Source organism: Homo sapiens, chromosome 9 (assembly GCF_000001405.40).
Source record: "Homo sapiens chromosome 9, GRCh38.p14 Primary Assembly".
NCBI classification, from domain to species: Eukaryota; Metazoa; Chordata; class Mammalia; order Primates; family Hominidae; genus Homo; species Homo sapiens.
This window is the reverse complement of record NC_000009.12, coordinates 35,413,330-35,436,371: the sequence shown is the minus strand read 5'-3', so window position 1 is coordinate 35,436,371 and position 23,042 is coordinate 35,413,330. Positions and strand designations below refer to the sequence as shown.

The following is a 23,042-nucleotide window of genomic DNA, read 5'->3' as shown; positions in this document are numbered from 1 at the left end:
CTTCACTGTTGATTTTCCATTTGATTTTATAGCCATTTAATATATTTCAGGTTTCTACTCACGTAGGTAGCATTCTGCCTCAAGATAGAAGTACAGGTATTTATTTATTAACTTGGCAACTAGAGCGTTTCATTTTGCTCTTAAATGTAAAACCAGAAGCAATATCCTAATAACATCTCCTTAACTATGAAGTTCCTCAGAGTTTAGTCCTTTTGGCAGAGGTGATAAAATTTAAACATGATAAGAGGTGGTTAATTTTGGTTTGGTTATTTTTTTCTTTGGGCAGTGATATGGGACTGAAGGTTAATTGGGAAAATAGAAGAGAATAAAAGGCCAAGGATATAATGAGAATCAGTAGTTAGGAGTTAGGAAGATGACAAGGAGTCACAGTGGAAGAAGTTAGAGAAATAGGAAAATGAGCAATGCTCAGGGCCAGGGAAATGAAATGGTGTTAAATATATCAGAATCAGTCAGATCTGTTCATTCACTCATTCAATATTCAATATATATTTATTGAATGTTGGCTGTGTGCACAACATTGTGATAGAAACTGTATCACAAATATACTGTGTATACAGAGATAAATGAGATACCCTTTTTCCAAGGGCTAATAGTTTTTTGGAGAAACAGAACTAACATTTTCAGAACCATACTTAACTCCTACGACCACCATGCAAGGTGAACATTATTATGCCCATTTTACAGATGAAAGAACTGAAGATCAGAGAAGTTAACAAACTTGCCTAAGACATTAAGGTTAGTAAAGGCTGAGCTATATTCAAACTCAGATCTGTCTGATGCCCAAACCTAGATTTACTGTCCCCACTGCTTGTTACGTAGGTCTAGAAGATAGAGAAGAGAAAAACCTGCTTTCATGGTCATATCTTGGATACTATTATTATCCAGAACTATTTGATATGGTTTGGCTCTGTGTCCCCCACCCAAATACCATGTTGAATTGTAACTCCCAGTGTTGGGGAGGGACCTGGTAGGAGGTGACTGAATCATGGAGGCGGCTTTCCCTCATGCTATTCTTGTGTTCTCACAAGATCTGATGATTTAAAAGTATAGGATCCTCCTCACTCTCTCTCTCTTTCCTGCCACCACGTGAAAAAGGTGCTTGCTTCCCCTTTGCCTTCTGCCAGGATTGTAAGTTTCCTGCGGCGTCCCAGTCATGCTTCCAGTTATGCCTGAGGAACTGTGAGTCAATTAAACCTCTTTTCTTCATAAATTACCCAGTCTCAGGTAGTTATTTATAGCAGTGTGAGATTGGACTAATATACCACTCTCACTCAGAAATCATAAACTAATATCCCACAGAGACCGCAGACATATATTTTTATATAATTATAGCTATGTATATGTATACATAGCTACACATGCATGGAATTATATTATGCTACACATGCATGGAATTATATTATGTATAAAACCATTGCTTGTGATCATAGAAGATTGAAAACAACCCAAATGTCCATTTAAAAGGAACTGGTTAAATAAAATATGTTAAATCTGCAGAGGAAATACTATATATTATAGCTGAAAAAGGAAAAAAAAGAAAAAAACTATTATGAAATTATGATGATGAAAACATCTCCAGGATATACTGTTAAGGTTCAGAATAGTGTAAAAATAGGAAAATAAGACTATATATTTGTATTTGCTTTATTTGCACAAAGAAACACTAATCTGATTAATACACACAAGAAAACTAACAGTGGTTCCCTCAGGGGAGCAGATATGGACAAGGATGGAGTATTGGAGCATGCCTTTTCAATATATATCTTTTCATGAATTACTTAGTTATAGACACATAAATAAGTGAAAAATGAACAATTCAATAGGAAGTGGGCAAAGATCATTAATAGGTATTTTCCAGAAAAAGAAATACAAAAGGCTAATTAACATGTATGTCATTTTCATCTAAGAGCTGGCAAAGATGACAAAGATTGATAATAATGAGTTTGACAGGAATGTGGAGAAACGGGCAGTCTCTAAGTAGAAACATAAATGGATATAATTCTTTTGGGGGGCAATCTGGCCTCTGATAATTTTTAATTTTTAGTGTGTTTTTCTTTTGAAACAGACAATTTACTTTTAGGAAACTTTCATAAGATACAGTCACACAAATGTGCCAAAATATATGTATAGTGGTGTTCATTCAGCACCATTTAGCATAGCAAAACACTGGAGACATTTAAATGTTCATCAATAGAAGACTGACTAAATAAATTCAGGTTTATCAATATAATGGAAAACAATGTCGCTATTAAATAAATGAGGGATATCTGTATGTGTTGTCAGATACATGTCTAAGTGAAAAAAGTAGAACTATGCTTTCATTTGTGCAAGAAAAACTACAGTATTTATTTTCTGGGAGTTATATATAAACCTGAAATCTAAGACATTCTCTCCCTAGCTTATGTCACTAGATTAATTTTGGCTTCTGAGCCTTCATTGCATTGTATAGGAGCTTGAAAGAAAGTGTAATAGAATCTGTGTTATAGGATCCACAACTACAAAGAATTTCACGCTCCCCCAACAAAGAAGAATATTATAGGAGAATACTGACCCCCTTCTGAAACAGCCAGAGGGATGACACTCACCGGATATCCAAAAATACTGTTGAATTCTTTGTTGTTGGCTTGCAGATATCTCTCATGTTCTGAAAAAAGATAGGATAAACGATGAGATGGATGCCCCTGTGTATATCAGACTGGGATGTTGGCTGCTAGTGAAGACTTCACTAGATCCCCACACTTTCTTGCTGAAGATGTCTATTTAAGCATGGGATTTTGTCTCTTTAATCAAAAGAATCAAGAAATATAATAAAAATAAAAATGCTCAAGTATTCAAGCTTTCTGGAGGCAACAGGACAAGTAACTCCTGAGGAGTTCTCCACCATCAATGCTTCTAGTACTTCCTAGATCATGTCTCCACAGACAACAAGATGGTCTGCACCAATTTTACTGACAAACACAGAAACCCAGCCTTCCCTCATAAGTCAATTTTAGCACTTTGTCTTAATATATCTGAGACTCTTTTCTAAGCCAACTTGTCCTAAACTTGCTTAACTAAATTTAAATTAATAAACAATGACTGAGCATCTATTGCACAGAGGCCAGTGTACTGGATGCCGTGGAGGGATAAAACGATGAGTAAGACAGTCTCTGACTTCAAGGACTTTAGTATAGTAGGAGTAAGCCTGATAACTACTTGACAAAATCATCACATCAAAACAGAGGTGTTTGTTACAAACTACTACAAATAGTGAGCCTGTTACCATGTTATGAACAAACAAATTATATATATATATAATCAATAGATCTTTCTCCCCTGAATGAAACATTCCTATAGTCTCTTTGGTTCTTCCTTGGTTCAGCAAGCATTTGCTGGGTTCTTGGCAGGTTCAGGCCCTGTGCTAGGTCCTAGGGTTACGAGATGAGGAAAACATCATCCTGACCATCTTGGTACTATTCCTAGTAGGACAGACAAATATAAAATAAAATTTCAATCTAATGTAAGGGCAGAGCTACAGGTTGGAGGTGCACAGAAGAGGGGATGGAAGTCAAGGAAAGTAGGACATAGATGTATTCCTGGAGGAGATGCCTTAGTTATTTGGATGATATGGATTAAGTGCTTCCCAGTTCTCTTAAGCCTGTGTATTATACCAAGCAATATAGAATTTAGCCTGAAGGCTGACAGTGCTCCTAAGCTTTCTGCCCTTAATGCTTCTAGTAATTCTTAGGTAATGTCTCCATAGAATTTGCCCCCTCAGAGAGTGGGTCGTAGCAACCCCTCTGCCTCTGAGTTGTATTGAATATCTACTTTAAAGCTCTTCTGGCCCTCTAAGGTCCTCCTTGGCCCATGGCTCCCAAGATTAAAAAGAAACTTCTTTCCTTGGCCCTCAAAAATTCTATCCTAGGCTACCGACTCCTACTCTGATCTTGAACTACTTGATTCACTCCTCCAAGAGGAGTCTCTGGCTCCAGGTCCTAGAAACCCAACTCTGCAATTGTTCAAGTTTTTTTTTTTTTTTTGAGCTATGATTCATATAATATAAAATTCACCCCCTGGAAGTGTACAATTGAATGGCTTTTAGTATATTCATGGTTATGCAACCATCGTCATTAATTCCAGAACATATTCATCACCCCCCAAAGACACCTCATACCTGTACTCTCAATTCTGACCTCTCCTCTCAGTCCCTGGTGGACACTAATCTATTCTCTGTGGATTTGTCTATTCTGGACATTTTACATAAACAGAAGCATAAAATATGTGGTCTTTTAAAACTGGTTTCTTTCACTTAGAATAATGTTTCCAAGGTTCATTCACGTTGTAGTACGTATCAGTATTTCATTCCTTTTTACATCTGAACAATATGTCAATGTTTGGATGTACCACATTTTACTTATCTATTCATCCATGATTGGGCATTTGGTTTGTTTCCACCTTTTGGCTACTGTGAAGAATATGGCTATGAACATCCCTGTACAAGTTTTTGTGTAAACATGTTTTCATTCCTCTTGAGTATACACCTAGGAGTAGAATCAATAGGTCAAATGGTAACTTTATGTTTAATTTTTTGAGCAACTGCTAAACAGTTTTCCACAGTATCTGTACTATTCTACATTCCCTCCTCACAATGTATGAGTGTCCCAATTTCTCCACATTGTCTCCAGCACTTGTTATTGCTCATGCTTTTTACTTTAGCAATTTTAAAGGCTGTGAAATAGTATCTCACTGTGGTTTCGATTAGCATTTCCCTAATGACTAATGATGATGTTGAGTATCTTTTCATGTGCTTACTAGTTATTTGCATTTTTTTTTTGAAGAAATGTCTACTCAGATTATTTGACCATTTTAAAAAAATTTCAACTTCTGTTTTACAGACAGGGGTGCATGTGCAGTTTTGTGGCATAGGTATATTGCACCCACAACCCCTCCCCCTCTAGTAGTCCACAGTGTCTACTGTTCCCCTGTTAATGTCTTTGACCATTTTTAAATTGCGTTGTCTCTTTATCACTGAACTGTAAGAGTTCTTTATATATTCTGGATAGAAGGCCCTTATCAAATATATGACTTGCAAATATTTTGTACCATTCTGAGTTGTCTTTTCATTTTCTTGATGGTTGGCTTTGAAGCAACAAAGTTTTTTATTTTGATGAAGTCCTATATGCATTTTCTTTGGTCACTTGTGTTTTTCGTGTCATGGTTTAGAAACCATTGCTAATCCAAGGTCATTAGAATTTACTCCTATTTCTTTTTCTAAGACTTTTATAGCCCAGACGCAGTGGCTCACACCTGTAATCCCAGCACTTTGGGAGGTTGAGGCAGGAGGATTGCTTGAGCCCAGGAGTTCAAGACCAATCTGGGCAACATAGTGAGACCCCATCTCTATAAAAACTAAAATTAGGCATGATGGTGCAGCCTGTGATCCTAGCTATTCAGGAGGCTGAGGTGGGATGATCATTTGAGGCCAGGATTGAGGCTGGCCAATGAGCCATGATTGCACCACCACACTCCAGTCGGGGCAGCAGAGCAAGACTCTGTCTCCAAAAATAAATAAATAAATAAAATTAAAAAGAGTTTTATAGTTTTAGCTCTTACATTTAAGTCTTTGATCTATTTTGCATTAATTCTTGCATATGGTGAAATAGGGGTCCGTTTTTATTTTTATATTTTTGTATTGTGTATATCCAGTTCTACCAGCACCATTTATTGAAGACTATTCGTTTCCCAATGAATAGTTTTAACGTCCTTGTTAAAAATCAACTGACCATATGCATTTTCTGTATCTACTGAGTTAATGCAGTTTTTACCCTTCACTCTGTTAATGTGGTATATCACATTGATTAATTTGCATATGTTAAGTGATCTCTGCATCCTAGAGATAAGACCTACTTGGTCATGACATATGATTCTTTTACTGTGATACTGAATTTATTTGCTAGGATTTTGTTGAGGATTTTTGCATCTATCAGAAGTATTGGCCAATAATTTTCTTTTCTTGTAGTGTCTTTGTCTGGCTTTGGTATCAGAGTAATGCTGGCATGATAAAATGAGTTGAAAGTGTTCTCTCTTTTTCAATTTTAGGAAGAGTTTAAGAAGGACTAGTGTTAATTATTTTTTAAATGTTTGATAGAATTAACCTGTGAAGCCATCTGGTCCTGGGCTTTTCTTTGTTGGTTGGTTTTGTTTTAGTTTTTGTTTTGAGACAGAGTCTCACTCTGTCACCCAGGCTGCAGTGCAGTGGCATGATCTCAGCTCACTGCAAGCTCCCTGGTTCAATAAATTCTCCTGCCTCAGCCTCCCAAGAAGCTGGGATTACAGGCGCCTGTTACCACGCCCGGCTAATTTTTGTATTTTAGTAGAGATGGGGTTTTGCCATGTTGGCCAGGCTGGTCTCAAATTGCTGACCTCAAGTGATCTGCCTGCCTCGACCTCCCAAAGTGCTGGGATTACAGGCATGGGCCACCGCACCCGGCCTGCTGGGAGGTTTTTGATTACTAATTCGATCTCCTTACTTATTAGTCTGTTCAGATTTTTTCTTTGTTAATCAGGCTTGGTAGGTTGCATGTCTCCAGGAATTTATCCATTTCTTCTAGGTTATTCAATTTGTTGGCATATAACTTTATAATAGTCTCTTGTGATCCCTTTTATTTTTGTGGCATCAGTTGTACATTTTCTCTTTCATTTTGGATTTTAGAGTCTTTTAAAAATAAAAGTTTACCTAAGGGTTTGTCAATTGTGTTTATCTTTTCAATAAACCAATTCTTAGTTTCATTATTTTTTCTTGTTTTTCTATTCTCCATTTTATTTATTTTTACTCTAACTCCTTCCTTCTGCTAACTTTGGGCTTAATTTGTTCTTTTCCTAGTTCCTTAAGGTATAAAAGTAGGTTGTTTAATTGAGATCTTTCTTTTTTTTTCCTTAATGTAGGCATTTATTGCAATAAACTTTTCTCTTAGAACAACTTTTGCTGCATCCCATAAGTTTTGTTATGTTTCCACTTGTATAAAGGTATTTTTATTTCACCTTTTGGATTTTTTTTTCATCCATTGGTTGTTATTCTAGTTTCATACCATGTAGTTAGGAAAGATACTTAATATACTTTCAATCTTTTTACATTTGTTAAGACGTGTTTTGTGGCCCAAAATATGATTTATACTGGAGAACAGATCCATGTGCACTTGAAAAGAACAATATATTCTGCTGTTTGGGAATGGAATGTTCTGTATATATCTGTTAGGTCCATTTGTTCATAGTGTTATTCAAGTCCACTGTTTCCTTGATTCTCTTTCTGAATGATTCTACTGTTGAAAGTGGATTATTGAGGTTCTCTACTTTACTGTACTGCTGTCTATTTCTCCCTTCAGTTCTGTTTATCTTTGCCTTATACACTTAAAGTAATTATAGATAGGTAAGTATTTAGCATTGCCATTTTGTTAATTGTTTTCTGAGTGTTTTGTAGTTCGTTTGATCCTCTCTTGCTGTCTTCCTTTGGCCTTATACATTTAAGTGCTCTGTTGTTGGATGCATTTATATTCACTAGTGTTATATCCTATTTATGAATTGGCCCCTTTATCATTAAATAATGACCTTTCTGTCTTTTATGACAGATTTTTCTGACATAAGCATAGCCACCCTTGCCCTCTTTTGGTTACCATTTGCATGGAGTATCTTTTTACATCCCTTCACTTTCAGCCTATGTATGTCCTTAAAGTTAAAGTGACTCTCTTGTGGGTAGCATATTGTTAGATCTTATTTTTTTGTTTTGTTTTGTTTTTTCATTCAACCATTCTAGTCAGTCTTTTGATGGGAGAATTCAATCTATTTACATTTAAAGTAATTTAAGATAGGTATTTACTATTGCCATTTTGTTGTTTTCTGAGTGTTTTGTAGTTCCTTTGTTCCTCTCTTGCTGTCTTCCTTTGTGATCTGATGACTTTTGTAGTGGTGTGCTTTGATTCCTATCTTTCTCTTTTCTGTATCTACTAGAGGCTTTTTCTTTGTGGTTACCATTTGTACAAATTGTGACCAAGATGAAACTGGGATGTTCAGCTAGGTTTACCCAAGGATTTGAGAGTAAACAGATTTAGATTATGTACACTAATTTGGATAGAGTTGACATTTTTGCAATATTAGCCCCCTATCTGGTAACATGCTATATTCCTGTGAGAGAGACAGAGAGATAGCTGTTGGTGTCCTCCTGGGACGCCACTCCTTTGTGCATGATGATCATGTCTATATAGTCAGCTTACCAGCAATACATAAGCAAATGGCTATGAGTCTTCTCTGGACTATGCTTACAACCCAGCTATGCAGCTTGTAGTTTGTTCTACTGTACTAGTACATTTCTTCCTTCTTATATTTTATTCTTGTGATTATTAGGATGAATGGTTACTGGATGATTACTAGTTGAATAAACATGGGAGAAGTTTTATACTTATGTGAGATGGGATTGATATATTTTGTGGAGCTTTATTTTGACTGGTTAGTGGCTTATTTACAACTGTGTGATACAAGGGCTTCTGCTAATCATTGAAGCTTAGCTTCTCTGAAGCAGTGGAATATGCATAGCTCAGATAATTTAGTCACATCTAGGATTTAGAGCTGGTGTATGGCATAGGCCCTTTGTGCAGGGACTTTCTCAAGGGGCACAGATAGCTACCTGATTAAGGCAGGGTACCAGAGAAGTACTGGTGTTTCTACTAGTGTTGAGATTCTCCAGTCCTTGGACAGGCTATGTTCATACTCAATATATTAATGGATTACTGAATAAAATCAGTTTCTCCCATGCCATTTATCCCTTCAGACCAGTAAAACGTTTCTATTTGTTTAAAAATATTATTTTATAACTTTTGATAAAGTTATAATATTTTCTTACTGGATTTCACATTTCTTATTAAATTTAATCCTAAATATCCCTGATTATTTTTTAACCTAACAAGGGTCTAACAGCCTCTGCCAGCAACTTATCTGGGTGAAACAGGCCATTCTCTCACTAGTTCTGAGGGATACCTGGGGTTCAGCCTCTATGCAACAACTGAATACTGAACACATATCTCCCTCTTTGAGTTGAAGAGTAAAGTAAAGCAGTAGATCTCAAGGTTCAGAGCCTGAGTTGCTAAAGACAGATTGAGACTCCGAAGTAGGGGCAGGATTAACCTTCACCTTGTTCTGGCTCTTTAATGACAGACCTGCCATGAAGAAAGAAGAAGGAGAAAGGAAAGTAGGATTTTCACCAGGAGAAGAGGAATTGGGGGCTAGAAAGCCAGATTTCCTAAGAGGTCTACGATGAAGGAAAAGAAGGAATGATGAGAAAAGTGGTTAAAACATCACTTTGCACAACCATCTAAGAGAATAAACTAAATGTTTGAGAGAGAAAAAAGGCAGGCTGTAAGGAAAGAAAGTAACCAGTCTTGTTTGAGATCATAAAGGCAGGAAGAAAGTTTTCAGACTGGATAATAAAGATTAATTCAAGATTCCCTGGGGCATGTAAATACTGTAAGAGAAGACTGGGTGACTAAGTGTTTTCCCCATTACTTGTTAATTCAAAGGTTATTCCTGTTTGGCTGAAACGAGAATGACAAAATGTGAATTATGGGTGAGAGGTTAGAATGACAGAAGGTTGGAAATTAGTTGAGACAAGGAGAGTCTAGGAAATAGTCTAGTTGAAGAAGTCCTAGCTATGGAACTCAAGGGGACAAACACCTACTTCTAGCCACTGGTGACTGTGGAAAATTCATTCTCCATTAGGAACTGAGGGTTGAATCTACAGCCTATTCAAAGACTGGTTTCAAAGGACCTGTCCTAAAAGCTGGCCTGCGCATGGTGAAATAACTGAACTAAAAGGGCCAGACATCTTGGTGAAGTGAGGCAAGCTGGTGTTATAAAATGTGCAGTAGACTTAAAGTTAAAAAATATAGAAAGCTCCCATAGTGGTTAAGAACACAGACAATTGAGTCAGGCTGTCAGGGTTCAAATCTTAGTCTTCCACTTCAGAGCCTGAGTTGGCAAAGACAGATTGAGACTCCAAAGTCAGGGCAGGATTAACCTTCACCTTGTTTTGGTTCTTTGATGACAGACCTGCCACAAAGAAAGAAGGAAAAAGGAAAATAGGATTTTCACCAGGAGGAGAAGAGGAATTGGGGGCTAGAAAGCCAGATTTCTTAGCCTTGGGAAAGTAACTTAACCTGAGATTCATTTTATTTTTCTGTAAGATGGAAATGATAATAATATCTACTCATAAGGTTATTGGGAGGATTAATGAGTTAAGGCACACAAAATATTTGAAAACAATTCCTAATAATTAAAAATGCTCAGGACATTTTAGCTATTCTAGACTGGACTCTGCAACTAAATTGTTAAGTGACCTAGGGCAAGTCACTTTTCATTTCTTGGCTTTAGTTTCTTCATGTGTAAAATGGGGTAGTAAAACCTACTGTATATACTAATAGGGCTAAATGAGATGATAAATGTAAAGTGCCTATCTGATTCCTGACAAATCAAAAGTACACATTTTCAACCTGAGAAAAGGTGAATGAAAAACAAATAAAAAATGAGAACCACACAAAAGTACACATTAGGCTGGGTGCAATAGCTCATGCCTGTAATCCCAACACATTGAGAGGCCAAGGTGGGAGGCTCACTTGAGGCCAGGAGTTCAAGACCAGCCTGGTCAAGGTAGTGAGACCCTGTCTCTACAAAAAAAATTTTTTTAATGTAGCTGGCATGGTGCCACACACCTGTAGTCCTAGCTACATGGGAGGCTAAGGTGGAAGAATTGCTTGAGCCCAGTAGTTGGAGGCTGCAGTGAGCTTGATCATGCCACTGCACTTCAGCCTGAGTGACAGAGGGAGACCCTGCCTCTAACAACAACCAAAAAAAGAGTACACATTAAATGTTATATTCTGTTATTTATCTTATAATATGTCAAGGAGATTCCATATGCATCATTGATATAGTTGTCTGTGCCCAAAATAGATTTTGAACTTTCAGCTACCTTCTGTGGATGCACTAGGCTAATCCAGGTAGTGGAAAAGGAAGGGTACAAAAGCCATAGTCTAGTGAGGAGAATTCTGTCTACCTGGTAAAAAGGTAGTAGAAGTCTCAAAATAGAAGAAGCCTCTGTTTAAGGATATAATGCTTAGAGTTTTGACTCAAATGCCAGGGTGAAAGACTTAGCTCTTACGCAACATATGTAATACCACCTCGGGTTTTAGGGGTTAAAGCTACAGAAGATTGGCGATTATCCTAGCAAGGAAATGGCAGAAACTAAAATGGAAAATGAGCTCTGTAAGATGAAACAAAAGAAAGTAGCACGCTGAAATTTAAGTAACCAGGAAAAGAAGGAGGAGGGCAGAAAAGGAATGAAGGCCAGTTAGTCAGGTGGCAATCAGGCTTAGGAGATTCTGAACAAATATTTCCTTGCTCACAATGGTGAATTGATCACAAATGGGATTTTCCAGCTAATGCAAGAACAATGAGATGATCTTCCGGAGTGCAAGTCTCTTAACTACTAGATTAGTCAAGGCTTACTCTCCATATACTACTATACTCACAGTTCCATTAAGCCCAGGTGCTGGCAGGGCAAATTTAGCAATGACCCCTTGCTGTAGTTCCAGATTAGCAGGCCTAGGTGATTTCAGCCAAGTCATTTAATGGCTGTCATAGAAATCTCCTTTTCCTGTCTCTAAAAATAAGTGAAGACAGCTGCAAGGGGAAGGATAAAGGGCTAATTTCAAGTCAGATTAGTTGGAGACAGTTATGGTTTGGCTGTGACCCCACCCAAAATCTCATCTTAAATTGTAATCCCATAATCCTCACGTGTCAAGGGTGGGACCACGTGGAGGTAATTGGATCACAGGGGTGGTTTCCCCCATGCTGTTCTCATGATAGTGAATGAGTCTCATGAGATCTGATTTTATAAGTCTCTGGCATTTCCCCTGTTTGCACTCATTCTCTCTCCTGCTGCCCTGCCAAGAGGTGACTTCTGCCATGATTGTAAGTTTCCTGAGGCCTCCCCAGTCATGTGGAAACTGTGTGTCAATTAAACCTCTTTTCTTTACAAATTACCCAGTCTTGGGTATTTCCTTATAGCAGCATGAGAACGAACTAATACAGAGTCAGTTCGCATTAAGAATACTGGAATTTCTCACACAGATTCCAAATGATCACAATTTATCCTATGGTAGTCAAATAACAATCTAAAACATTACAGCTATCAGTAGATTTTAGCTAACCATATGGCTTAAAGTCTTGAATACACAAGAAAATTTATTTTTCATCTCTCCAGACTTCATTTCTGAGATATCTGGAGCATAACCACTAGATATTTCCATGTAAGGAATGGTAAAATGACTAGGCATGGTGGCTTACACCTGTAATCCCAGCATTTTGGGAGGCTTAAGGGGGAGGATTGCTTGAGCCCAGGAGTTCAACACCAGCCTGGGCAACAAGCAAGACACCATCTCTTAAAAAAAAATGTATGCTAAGAAGAACAGCTAAATGATGTAGCAGAGAGTCATCACAGAAAAGGCCAGTATCCATGGCCCTGCAGAAAGGGCAGTAACTAATTTGCTTTCTCGCCACCATTTCATCATGTGTTTCTGGTTCAGTCTACCCACAGCTACATCCCATGGTTTATATTTAACTTACTTATCATGCTTACTTACAATACCAGCATTCTCCCACTAAACAAAGAGCTCCTTATAGGTAGAGACCATGAGATCAGCTTTTTTAGATGCCACATATGAGTCAGATCATGCAGTATTTGTCTTTCTGTGTCTGATTTATTCACTTAACATAATGTTCTCCAGATTCATCCATGTTGTTACAAAATGACGGATTTACCTCTTTTTTCATGGCTGGATAGTATGGTGGTTACCAGGGGCTGGGAGGCTGATGAGGGAGGAGTTGGGGAAATGTTGATCAAAGGTTACAAATTTCAGTTAGATAGGAAGAATAAGTTCCAGGGATCTATTGTACAACATGGTGACTATAATAAATAACAATACATTGTATTCTTGAAAAATTCAAAGAGTAGATTTTAAGTGCTCTCACCATAAAAATGACAACTATGTGAGGTAATGTATATGTTAATTAGCTTAATTTAACCATTCTGGAAGGGGTTTTGTGTGTGTGTGTGCATTTCAAAACATGTTGTATGCAATAAATATATATAACTTCATGTTAATTAAAAAAACCATTAAAATATTTCAGTAGCTTTTGAGGTACAAGTGATTTTGGTTACATGGATGCATTATATAGTTGTGAATTCTGAGATTTTGGTGCACCCATCACCCAAGCAATGTACACCGTACCCAATATGTAGTTTTTTATTCCTCACTCCATTTGCACCCTCCCCCTTCTGAGTCTCCAAAGTCCATTTTACCACTTTGTATGCCTTTGTGTACTCATAGCTTAGCTCTCACTTATAAGTGAGAACATAACAGTAGCTAGTCTTCCATTCCTGAGTTACTTCACTTAGAATAATGTCCTCCAGCTCCACCCACGTTGCTGCAAAAGACATTATTTCATTCCTTCTTATGGCTGAGTAGTATTCCATGGTGTATATATATATGAAATTTTCTTTATCCACCCATTGGTTGATGCGCATTTAGGTTGGTTCTGTGTCTTTGCGACTGTGAACTGTGCTTCAATAAATGTGTGCATGTGTCTTTTTCACATAATTACTTCTTTTCTTTTGAGTAGATACCCAGCAGTAGGACTGCTGAATCAAATGGAAGATCTATTTTTAGTTCTTTAAGGAATCTCCATACTGTTTTCCATAGAGATTGTACTAATTTACATTCCCACCAGCAGTGTATAAGCCAAATACTTACAACCACATCCTTCTCTTTTCACCATATCCATACCAATATCTTTTTTGGCTATTCTTGTAGGAGCAGGGTGGTATATCATTGCAGTTTTAATTTGCATTTCCCTGATGATTAGTAATGCTGAGCATTTTTTTCATGTTTGTTGGACATTTGTATATCTTCTTTTGAGAAATGTCTATTCATGTCATTTGCTCACTTTTTGATGGGATTATTAGTTTTTTTCTTGCTGATTTGTTTGAGTTTCTTTTAGATTCTGGATATTAGTCCTTTGATGGATGCAGGGTTTACAAATATTTCCCCCCATTCTGTAGGTTATCTGTTTACTCTGATGATTATTTCTTTTGCTGTGCAGAAGCTTTTTAGTTTAATTAGGTCCCATTTATTTGTTTTGTTGCATTTACTTCTGGGGTTTTAGTCATGAATTCTTTGCCAAGGCCTATGTTCAAGAGAGTTTTTCCAAGGTTATCTTCTAGAATTTTTATGGTTTTAGGTGCTGGATTTAAGTCTTGATCCATCTTGAGTTGACTTTTGTATACAGTGAGAGATTGGGATCTAGTTTCATTCTTCTACATGTGGCTAACCAGTTTTCCCAGCACCATTTATTAAATAGGGTGTCATTTCCACAGTTCATGTTTTTGTATGCTTTGTCAAAGATCCGTTGGTTGTAAGTATTTGGCTTTATTTCTCTGTTCTCTATTCCATTCCATTGGTCTACGTTCCTACTTTTATACTAGTACTATGCTGTTTTCGTAACTATAGCCTTGTAGTATAATTTGAAGTCTGGTAATGTGATGCTTCCAGGTTTGTTCTTTTTACTTATGATTGCTTTGGCTATTCAGGGTCTTTTTTGGTTCCATATAAATTATAGAATTGTTTTTCCTAATTTTGTGAAAAATTATGCTGGCATTTTGATAGGACTTGCATTGAATCTGTAGATTGCTTTGGGCACTGTGGTCATTTTCACAGTATTGATTCTTCTTAATCCATGAGCATGGGATATGTTTCCATTTGTTTGTATCATCTATGATTTCTTTCAGCATTGTTTTATAGTTCTCCTTGTAGAGATCTTTCACCTCCTTAGTTAAATATATTCCTAGGTATTTTATATTTTTTGCAGCTGTTTTAAAAGGGATTGAGTGTTCTTGATGCGATTCTTAGCTTGGTGGTTGTTGGTGTATAGTAGTGCTACTGATTTGTGTACACCGATTTTGTAACTTGAGACTTTTCAAAATTCGTTTATTAAATCTAGGAGTCTTCTGGAGGAGTCTTCAGGGTCTTCTAGGTATATGACCACATCACCAGTGAATGGAGATAGTTTGATGTCCTCTTTCCAACTGAGATGCCTGTTATTTCTTTCTCTTGCCTGATTGCTCTGGCTAGGACTTCCTAATGGACTATGTTGAATAGAAATGGTGAAAGTGGGCATCCTTGTCTTGTTCCAGTTCTCAGGGGGAATACTTTCAACTTTTCCCTTTCAGTATGATGTTGACTATGGGTTTGTTATATGTGGCTTTTATTATTTTGAGGCATGTCCCCTTCTGTACCTAGTTTATTGAGAGTCTTTATCACAAAGAGATGCTGGATTTTATCAAATGCTTTTTCTGCATCTATTGAGATGATCATACTTTTTTTTTTTTTTTTTGAGACGGAGTCTTGCTCTGTTGCCAGTCTGGAGTGCAGTGGCACAATCGTGGCTCACCACAACCTCCGCCTCCCGGGTTCAAGCGATTCTCCTGCCTCAGCCTCCTGAGTAGCTGGGACTACAGGTGCATGCCACCATGCCCGGCTAATTTTTGTATTTTTAGTAGAGATGGGATTTCACTATGTTGGCCAGGCTGGCCTTGAACTCCTGACCTCATGATCCACCCACCTTGGCCTCCCAAAGTGTTATATTACAGGCGTGAGCCACCATGCCCAGCCAATCATATGTTTTTAATTCTGTTTATGTGATGTGTCATGATTATTGACTTCCATAGATGTTAGACCATCCCTGCATCCCTGGGATGAAACCCACTTGATTATAGTAGGTTTGATCAACCCACTTGATCTTTCTGATGTGCTGTTCGATTTGGTTAGCTAGTATTTTGTTGATGATTTTTGCATCTATGTTTATCAGGGATATTGGTCTGTAGTTTTCTTTTTTTTTAATGTTCTTTCCTGGTTTTGGTATCAGGGTGATACTGGCTTCATAGAATGTTTTAGGGAGGATTACTTCTTTCTCAATCTTTTGAAATATTTCAGTAGAAATGGTACCAATTCTTCTCTTAATGCCTGGTAGAATTCACATTAGAATCCATCTGGCCCTGGGCTTTTTTATTGCTAGCAATTTTTAAAAATTACTCATTCAATCTCACTGCTTGTTATTAGTCTGTTCAGGGGACCTATTTCTTCCCAACTTAATCTAGGAGAGTTGTATGTTTCCAGGAATTTATCCATTTCCTCTAGATTTTCTAGTTTGTGTGCATAGAGGTGTTGTTAGTAGTCTCGAATGATCTTTTATGTTTCTGTGGTGTCAACTGTAATATCTCCAGTTTTATTTCTAATTGAATTTATTTGAATTTTCTTTTTTCTTGGTTAATCTAGCTAATAGTCTATCAATTTTATCTTTTCAGAGAACCAGCTTTTTTTCATTTATCTCTTGCATTTTTTTGTTTCAATTTCATTTAGTTCTGCTCTGATTTTTATTATTTCTTTTCTTATGCTAGCTTTGGGTTTAGTTTGTTCTTGTTTCTCTAGTTCCTTGAGGTGTGATATTAGATTGTCAACTTGTGATCTTTCCGACTTTTTGATGCAGGCATTTAGCACTATAAACGTTCCCATTAGCACTTTTTTTTTTGCTGTATCTCAAGAGGTTTTAATAATCTGTGTCACTACTGTCATTCATTTAAAAGAATTTTTAAATTTCCATCTTGATTTCATTGTTAACTCAAAAATAATTCAGGAGCAGATTGTTTAATTTCCATGTATTTGTATAGTTTTGAGGGTTTCTTTTGCAGTTAATTTCTACTTTTATTCCACTGTGGTCTGAGAAAATACTTGATATAATTTTGATGTTTATAAATTTATTAAGACTTGTTTTGTGGCCTATCATATGGTCTATCTTGGAGAATGTTAAATGTATTGATGAGAAGAATGTATATTGTGCATATCTTGGATAGAACGTTCTGTAAATATCTGTTAGGTCCATTTGTTTGAGAGTGTCATTTAAAGTCAATTTTTTTTGTTGTTGTTGACTTTGTCTTGATGATCTCTCTAGCACTGTCAGTGGAATACTGAAGTTCCCCACTATTATTATGTTGCTATCCATCTCATTTAGTAGGTCTAGCGGTAACTGTTTTACGAACCTGGGAGCTCCAGCGTTAGGTGCATATAAATTTAGGATTGTAATACCTTCTCGTTGGATTGAGCCTTATATCATTGTATAATTACCTTGTCTTTTTTTCACTGTTGTTGCTTTAAGGTCTATTTTATTTTAGATAAGAATAGCCACTCCTGCTTGCTTTTGGTTTCCATTTACATGGAGTATCTTTTTCTACCCCTTTACCTTGAGTTTATATAAATCCTTACATGTTAGGTGAATCTCTTGCAGACAGCAGATATTTGGTTTGTGATTTTTTTAATCCATTCTGCCAATCTGTATCATTTAAGTGGAGCATTTAAGCAATTTATATGTGACATTAATATTGAGAGGTGAGGTACTGTTCCATTCATCATGTTGTTATCTAGATACTTTGTATTTTTCATTGTGTTATTGTTTCATAGGTTTTGTTAGTTTTATGCTTTCCAGAGGTCCTATTTTGCTGCCTATCAAGCTTTTGTTTCAAGATTTAGAACTCTTTTTAGAATTTCTTGTAGGGCTGGTATGGTAGTGACAAATTCCCTCATCATTTGTCTGAAAATGACTTTATTTCTCCTTCATTTATGAAACTTAATTTTGCTAGATACAAAATTCTTGGCTGACAGTTACTCTGTTTAAGGAGGCTAAAGATAGGACCCCAATCCCTTCTGGCTTGTAAGGTTTCTGCTGAGAAGTCTTCTGTTAGTCTGATGGGTTTTCCTTTACAGGTTAACTGATGGTTTTGTCTCACTGCTCTTAGAATTCTTTCCTTCACATCGACTTTAGATAGCCTGATGACTATATGCTTGGTAATGTCCTTTTTGCAAGGAATCTCCCAGGATTTCTTTACGCTTCTTGTATTTGGATATCTAAATCTCTAGCAAGGTCAGAGAAGTTTTCCTCATTTATTCCTTCAAATAAGTTTTCCAAACTTTTTGCTTTTTCTTCTCCTTCAGGAACATCAATTATTATTAGGTTTGGCCATTTTACTTAATTCCATATTTTTGGAGACTTTGTTCATTTATTTTTATTCTTTTTTATTTTTTCTGATTGGGTTAATTTGAAAGCCTTGTCTTCAAGCTCTGAAATTCTTTCTTCTGGTTGTTCTAGTCTATTTTTAAATCTTTCCATTGCATTTTGTAATTCCCTAAATGTGTCTTTCATTTATGGAAGTTCTGATTAGCTATTCTTCAAGATCTCTATCTCTTTAGAAAATTTTTCATTCATATCCTGAATTTTTTTTTTTTAATTTCTTTGTGTTGGCTTTCACCTTTCTCTGGTATCTCCTTGTACTCAAGGAAATAATCAAAGCTTAATAATCAACCATTCGAATTCTTTATCTGGTATTTCAAATATTTCATCTTGGCTGGGTGTGGTGGCTCACACCTGTAATCCCAGCACTTTGGGAGGCCAAGGCGGGTGGATCACCTGAGGTCAAGAGTTCGAGACCAGCCTGGCCAACATGGTGAAACCTTGTCTCTACTAAAAATACACACACAAAAATAGCTGGGAGTGGTGGCACACACCTGTAGTCCCAGCTACTTGGGGAGGCTGAGGCAGGAGAATCGCTTGAACCCAGGAGGCGGAGGTTGCAGTGAGCCAAGATCACACCACTGCACTCTAGCTTGGGTGACAGAGGGAGACCCCATCACAAAAGAAAAAAAAAAATTCATCTTTGTTTGGATCCATCACTGGAGAGCTAATGTGATCTTTTGGGGGTGCTACAGAACCCTGTTTTGCCATGTTACCAGAATTATTTTTCTGGTTCCTTCTCTTTTGGGTAGACCATTTCTTCTAGTTATTATAGAATTATTTTGATTGTGTTTTTTAAAAATTTCTTTTTACCCTCTTAAGGATCTGACTTTAATGTTTACTGTAGCCTAATTCGGCTCTTGGTGCTTTCAGGGGTGAAGATTCTACGTAAGTTCCTTGGTTACTGGCAGTCTTTGTATGATGGCCTTCTCAGATGCTAGTTTGTAGTAACAATGTGCACAGTATGTGCGCAAGTTTACTGTCTCACAGGGGGTTGGAACAGCAGAGTTCTCTTGAAGCTTACTTATTTCATTCCCCTGTGGTATACACCTTTTTGTTTACTTATTTTTCCCTAGTATTTTATTTACTGGTTGAACAGTCTGGGCTTCAGGCCAGCAGAGGAGGTATCCCTGTGTAGAAACCAGTTGTGGCTGAAGCAGGTGGGTAAATGCAGTACCCAATGGTGGGCAGAGGTCCCAAGTTTGTCAGAGGTGGCTGGGGGAGCTCTCAGTGAGAAACACTGAGGTTTTATCAGGCAGAAGGGTGGGAGCCACCTCAGCTCCCCTGCCAGGCCAGCAGGACACACTCCTGACTGTGTTCTAGCTATTCAGATCAGACAGGTACCTCTTTTCATCTGCAGGAATGTTGATGTTCCAAGTAAGGAAGAATTGTGACTCTACCTCTTGTGCAAGCCTGAACCTGGAGAGTGCTCCTCCTATGGGGATACAGTCACCTTGAAGTGTTCCAGAAATGCTATGCATAGATGCACTCACACCAAGCTCCCATGGGAGAAGCCCCAGCTGTGTCTGCAATGGTGGATGAGGGGGAAAAGAAGTCCCCCTCTCTGAGATTCTTCACAAGCCGCAGGCTTGGTGCCCGGCTGTTGGAGTAGAGCTGCAGACTTTCCCTGCTAAGTCCAGCACTGCAACTGTGCCCCTGCTGAAAGAAACTTCCACCAGCAGAAAGATCTGGGACTCAGGGCCTGCCATCTAGAGTCCTTTGTCCCATGGGGTATTCCCTTGACGTAGTATACTCCCCTTTCCCCTAGAAGTAGGAGTCCCTGAGAGCCAGACTACTGTGAATTCTGTTGCTCTTCTGGATCTAGCCACCTAGAGGGGCTGCCACACTCCAGGCTGGTACTAGGGAATGTCTGCAAGGGATCCAGTGATATGATGTGTTCTCAAGTTTCCCAGAAGCAGGTACTAGCACTGGCTCTGATGGGGTTTGCAGGGGAGTGACATAGACTCTGTGAGATTCCTTGGTTATAGCTAGCCTTAGTGTGTTGGCTTTCTCAAATGCCAGTGGTAGTAAGTAATGACCTGGTCACACGAACAGACTCAGGACCTCCTGGTCGGCTAGTGTGGTGCAGACAATGGTGATAGCTGAGGTCAGGCACAAGTTTCTTCCTTCCCGGGTGCAGTGTTATTCTACCTGGAGGTGCTGTAATGGACTGTGTTGGCCTCTAGCCACAAGGTGGCACTTGGAAAAGAACACCAGCTGTGGTAGTAGTGGTGGGATTTGTGCTTGCCTTATATCTCCAGGGAAGGTATTCTGGTTTCTCAGGCAATGGATAGGGTCATAAAGCTCCCCAAAGTTTCTGTCCTTTGTGTTAAGCTACCAGGGCGGGTGGAGGGGCAAAGCCAGGTGGAGGCTGGATAAGCCAGGTCTGTGCTCTGGCTCTCCACATGCACGGCAAGCAGCGGCCCCTGTGGAGCTCAAGGGACAGTTCTCTGGCCACTGGGATATTATTCCAAGGAGAAGCATAGCTGTTTCTACTGTACAGAAGAGTTCGCACAAGGAGTAAGAGTAGCAGGTGGCAGTAAGTCCCACCCAGCTCTCATTAACATGACAAGACAGATCTGACACTCCCAGTAATCTACTAGCAGCAGCAAGCTAAGGTCCAGGCCATCTTGCTCAGAACTAAAAATTGCCCAGGCCATAAGCCTTCCCTGCAGAGATACTATGTGAGGTACTGCATATGTTAATTAGCTTGATATAACCATTCTAGAAGGTATGTATATATTTCAAAACATCATATTGTACACAATAAATACGTACAATTTCATGTCAATTTATTTAAAAAAGGTAGAGACCATGTTTTTTCTTTTCTTTAAATCTCTGTAGCCTACCGCTTGGCTCAGCATTAGGCTCTGGATATAATAAAGATTTGTTGAATGAACAAGTACACAAGTGAAAAATGCTTAGAAACATGTTCTGCTCAATTGGGGTCAGATTGCTGTCCAAACTCCTCCAGTAGAGGACAATCGCCTCCTCCTTATGGGAAGATCTATATAATCACAGAACAGCTGGACTCAAAGAGGAGCCTCAGCTAAGGCTAATGGTTTGTTGACACTTCTATGCAAAAGTCAGCAAACCAGAGGATATTCAGCATGGCTGTAGAGGGTGTGTAGAATGCAGTGTTAAGAAGAGCTTTGAGAAGAAGCTCACTAAAGTCTGGAATGTCATGAAAAGTCCAGCTCCTGAGCTACTACTGATCTCCTGCACCTCTAAGTCTGACCATCCCCTAAAGCTTCATTAATTTTTCTGTCTGAGTTAAGCAAAAACAAGTCTAAAATTGTTCAAAGGAGCCTAAAGAAAATCAAAATAATCATAAAAGCTGTCCAATTTATTAACAAGGGTCCATAGAAGGTTGGTTTGGCTGGCACAATTTAGGACATGCTCAAAAACCAAAGGCCCTATTCCCTACTCCCTTTACAGACCTTTGGCTTCTCCCTTTCTGTAGGGCAGAAGCTGACAGGAACATCCAGGCGGATGGAAATTGGGAGTTGTGCTTTCGTACTCTGACCACATTTGGAATCTGGGACCAATGATTTCTCATCAATGCAGTAAAGGTAAAATCAGGCTTGTATGACTGAACTGCTAGACATTACTTTCAGTGCTTCTCCATCATAAAACCTTCCCTGGGATAGCAGACGAGGGTTTGGGAGTTATATGAAAAGCCGTCAGTTAGAAACAAAATGCCTTGGTGATGCTAAAAAAGCAATTTAAATCTAAAGGATTCAAACCTTAACCCCTTCTGTTTAGGGTTGCCAGATTTAGCAAATAAAACATTCAGATACAAGATAAGTATGTCCCAAATATCAGATGGGACACACATACTAAAAAGTTATTTGTTTATGCAGTGGCATGATCTCGGCTCACTGCAACCTCTGCCTCCTGGGTTCAAGCGATTCTCCTGCCTCAGCCTCCCGAGAAGCTGAGATTACAAGCACGCGCCACCATGCCTGGCTAATTTTTGTATTCTTACTAGAGACGGGGTTTCACCATGTTGGCCAGGCTGGTCTTGAACTCCTGATCTCAAGTGATCTGCCCACCTTGTCTTCCCAAAGTGCTGGGATTACAGGTGTGAGCCACCGTACCCGGCCACTGGGAACTTTTGATCTGTCTTTTCTAAACAACTTTATGAGGTAAAATTTATAAACCATACAATTCACCTATTGAAAGTATAAAAATTAGTGGTTTTTAGTATGTTCACAGAGTTGTGCAACCTAAATGTCTACTTTTGTGTTTATTTAATGCTCTTTTGTAGAGTATTCTGTTACTAAGACTCTGATTAACTTTCCTGTCTACATGCCACAATATCTATGCCCTCTTCCTTCCTAGAGTCCTTTTTCTTTTTTTCCTTTTCTGTCCTTTCTTTTTAGTTTCTCCAACTTAGTTATTTTCCATTTGTGATTACACTTTTTTCTTTTTATTAATTTTAAGAATTACCCAAAGTAATATAAAAATACATTTCCACTGTAAAAGATTCAAAAACAAAAATATATACAGAAAAAATTTAAAGTTTCCTTTCCTGTGCCTTCCACTCCTTCTTTTCCTAAGGAAACCACTATAAATAGATTGGTGTATATCCTTTAGGTCCCTTCCATTTCAAGGAATTTATACACAAATATTTATGTATATATACACATCTCTCTATATATATATTTTTAATGAGATCCTACTACATGTATTGCTCTGCAAGTTACCTTTTTCTTTTTACACTATGTATTGGTCATCTTCCCTTGTCAATATGTATAGATTTACTCCAACCTTTTGAATTACTACCTAGTATTATTAAGCTACCTTTTGATAACTGTTGA

General features: G+C 38.0%; 1 pseudogene across 3 annotated transcripts in view; it reads right to left on the bottom strand.

The window, feature by feature from the left end:
- Positions 1–23,042, bottom strand: part of ATP8B5P (ATPase phospholipid transporting 8B5, pseudogene) — a 76,275-nt pseudogene that overhangs the window by 46,658 nt on the left and 6,575 nt on the right. For all 3 annotated transcript variants that reach the window (NR_003581.2, NR_003582.1, NR_110320.1), the window contains exon 3: positions 2,607–2,665. The product of NR_003581.2 is annotated as an ATPase phospholipid transporting 8B5, pseudogene, transcript variant 1 (transcript). The remainder of the gene's footprint in view (positions 1–2,606; positions 2,666–23,042) is intronic.